The sequence below is a fragment of the Homo sapiens genome, chromosome 3, assembly GCF_000001405.40.
Source record: "Homo sapiens chromosome 3, GRCh38.p14 Primary Assembly".
NCBI lineage: Eukaryota > Metazoa > Chordata > Mammalia > Primates > Hominidae > Homo > Homo sapiens.
This window is the reverse complement of record NC_000003.12, coordinates 11,898,785-11,902,035: the sequence shown is the minus strand read 5'-3', so window position 1 is coordinate 11,902,035 and position 3,251 is coordinate 11,898,785. Positions and strand designations below refer to the sequence as shown.

Genomic DNA, 3,251 nt, shown 5'->3' with positions numbered 1-3,251 from the left:
GGTTCTGTGTGTGCACACTCGGGTGAGCGTGTGGGTGTGTTCATTCTCTATGCATCGTCCAGTCGCCATACGGGAAATGAGCTAGGGTGTGTGAAGTGCCCGTAGGAATGCCTGGCCGCAAGGTGGACTCAAACTTTGCTCATTCTGCTCCCAAGAACAGCTTATACTCCCCATAAACCCTGCAGACAGGATCCCATCACCTTCTGCACCCACCCTTTCCTCAGCTTCCCTCTGCTTAGAGAAAAAAGGTGAATCCCATGCTGACAGGCAGGGACCTGTACACCCTGAATCTCACCCCACTCCATGCTTCAGTCTCCTCCAGAATAAAAGGACCTTCCCTGCCTGGCACACTGGCTCTAAGGTCTGGACCAGGAAGCAAAACCTGCCCCGAAAGCCGGAGCAGGAGGCATGGCCCCAGCCAGCCTCTCCTAGCCTCTCATCATGGCTGAGAATGTTGGCTTCCCCAAGATGTGCTGCACCAAGGACCAGCGCTGTGACCAGCAGGGTCTGGCTCCAGGGTCCGCCACAGCTCTGAGCACACAGACCCTGCTGCAGGGGCCCCTGAGCGCCAGGCTCGATTCTACCCAGGGCTTGGGGCCCACCTCACAGGTGGGTTCTGCCTCTTCAGCACCTCCGCCAGCAGCACCTTCACCTCCCTGACTGAAGCTGCCCTCTAGGGGACCTGCAGGGTTGGATGCCAGAGGAGTGGGGAACACAGAGAGGCCAGGTTCAGAGGAGAGGGACAATCCAGCATGGGCTGCAGAGGACAAACAGGCAGGGGGACGTCCTCACCCTCAGAGTCCAGGGCCTGGATCTTCAGCTCCAGGGGGGAGTCCTCCAGGTTGAGCTTGCGGGTGGTGGAGACGATCTGGATGCCGGGGATGAGGTCCACGGTGGCGTCACAGTGCAGGACCTGGTCTGTGGCTGGAGGAACCCCAGGGAGAAGTCAGCACTGAAGACAGCAGCTGCCCCTGGCGCCACCTCCAAGCCTTGCAGACTTACACTTTGGCAAAGACCACAGCGACCACCAGCCTCACCCTCAGAAGCCAAGCAGCTGCCTCGCACGTGGCCCCACTGAAAGTTAACAGGGACTACCAGAAAGGAAGGGCTGTGGGGGCCTTGTCACCACCTGGTCTGGCTTTTCCAGCGGGGAATCAGCATTTAAAGCTGTGGGCAAAGAAAACTCCAGGAAAACTTCATTTTGTTCAGGGTGTAACCATTCAGTGAAGTGACAAGTGCTACAATATGGATGAGTTCCCGTCCCAAAGATGAGAGCCCTGTCCCTCCACTGAGATTAGGAATTACACTGGTGATTTTGTTTATTTTTGTTTCTTTTGCGACAGGGTCTCAATTTGTTGCCCAGGCTGGAGTGCAGTGGCTCCCGGAGTCAACTGATTCTCCTGCCTTGGCCTCCCTAGTATCTGGGACCACAAGCATGCATACATCACCATGCCTGGCTAATTTTTAAAAACTTTTTTATAGAGTTAAGGTCTTGCTTTGTGGCATAGGCTGGTCTTATACTCCTAAGCTCAAGTAATCCTCCTGCCTTGGCCTCCCAAAGTGCTAGGATTACAGGTGTGAGACATTGCGCCTGGCCTATGATGGTGTATTTATATGATTATCAAGTATAATGTAGAAGGGGCACATGGACACTCATACAGATGGTTTTTACTTGCTCCATAAAAAAGGTACATGAATGGCATTACCCGGGGAATTCTCAAATGTAAGGATAGCAGCAGGATACAACATTTTTCTGACTCTTCTCCAGGTACTTATGCATTGTTAAGATTGTTTTGTTGGAAAGCAATAAGTCCCATGTATCAAAAGCCTTACAAATAGGCTGAGCGAGGTGGCTTATGCCTGTAAGGGCAGTCAGCCCTTACTGATGTCCTCTGCAAAGATGATGCTGGTGAGTCGGGCAGGCTGGGTCAGGTGGGCCTGCACCACCGCCTTCTGGGAGCACTGCTGCTCGTCCAGGCCCAGCGACTCGATGCTGGCCACCTCCGGCCGGGTGGACAACCTGCAGTGGAAGAAGACAGCATTTACTCTCTGGAGCTGCACTGCAAGGCACAGTGGGGTCCAGACACCAGGCTGTAGCTCCCGTCTAGGGCACAGTGCTGGACCCAAAGACAGAAGTGAGGTGGGCCGCCTAACACCAGCTTCAAACCCAGAGGAGACGTGGGGCCCTGCCGAGGCCTCTCCAGTTAAGACCTCCACAAGGTGAGGGCTCCAGGCCTGTGCACACAGTTCCCATGGAGCAAATCAAACAGGAGACCTCACACCTGGAAATGACCTCAAGGCTCAACAGATGGCCACCGTCCAAGACTCCTGCAGATGTGGGAGTCGTTCAGTACCAGCAGGAAAGCTGCTCAAGGGATCCCGTGAGGGGACACGTGGCACAGGGAGGGGGCACAGGCATCTTGGCCGACCTCTAACCCAGGCCAGGCACACAGCAAGCTCCAGGTGTCCGCTTCCAACCCCAACAGGTTCTACTAATCCTGGAAATCACTGCCTGTAATGAGAGCACGAGCTCTCAGCACCTGCGGAGCACACATTATAGCTATGGTGGGGACACAGGCAAATAAACACATCCGCAAATGAGCCTGGACAGTCTGTGAGCCAATTTCCCTAGTGGGGATTACAGGAGGAAGCGAAGTGTGTGTATGCGTGTGTGTTTGGGGTGGTGGGGGCGGGTAGCTATCTGGTGTCAGTGCCTTGATTTCTTAGGCATGGACTGGGATAACAGCCCCAGGCCCAGATGAGAGGGGGATGAGCGGCAGAGGACAGCAGACTCCACACTGAGCGTTCCCAGCTAGTACATGCTGTCTGCAGATGGGCACTCAGGCCTGGCGCAAAGGTGGAGTATGAAGCCTCCCAGGGAATGCAGGACCTGGGGTGAGGCAGGGCCATAGGAAGCGGCCGGCCCTGCTGCACTCAGCTTACAGTGTGACCAAGGCCCCAGGAGGAGCCACTGAGCAGTGCCTGGTGCTTGTCTCTCGGGCCGCACCCAGCATAGCACCTGACACAGAGCAGACACTCCAGGGTTTCCTCATCCTCCTCAACTTTGCCTAAATTCACTGGCACATACACAGCCTGGGGTATTCTGAAGGAGACTTTTCAGAAACTGCCTGGTGTCAAAAAGCAATGGTGTGGAACACAACCAGACAGACGTTCCACCTTCTGGCTGGATGCCAAGTGTCTCTCCAGGCCAGGCTGGCACAGGGGGCCAGCCCTCCAACACACCTGAGCAC

At 55.4% G+C, this 3,251-nt stretch overlaps 1 pseudogene, besides 1 other annotated feature; it reads right to left on the bottom strand.

Moving 5' to 3' along the window:
• Positions 792 to 2,032, bottom strand: NUP210P2 (nucleoporin 210 pseudogene 2; annotated as a pseudogene).
• Positions 2,500 to 3,001: an enhancer, noted in NCBI's record as "H3K27ac hESC enhancer chr3:11940509-11941010 (GRCh37/hg19 assembly coordinates)". NCBI's record gives its function as "activates a minimal SCP1, AML or CMV promoter by ChIP-STARR-seq in primed H9 embryonic stem cells {active_cell/tissue: H9 hESC(primed)}" and the evidence as "EXISTENCE:reporter gene assay evidence [ECO:0000049][PMID:30033119]".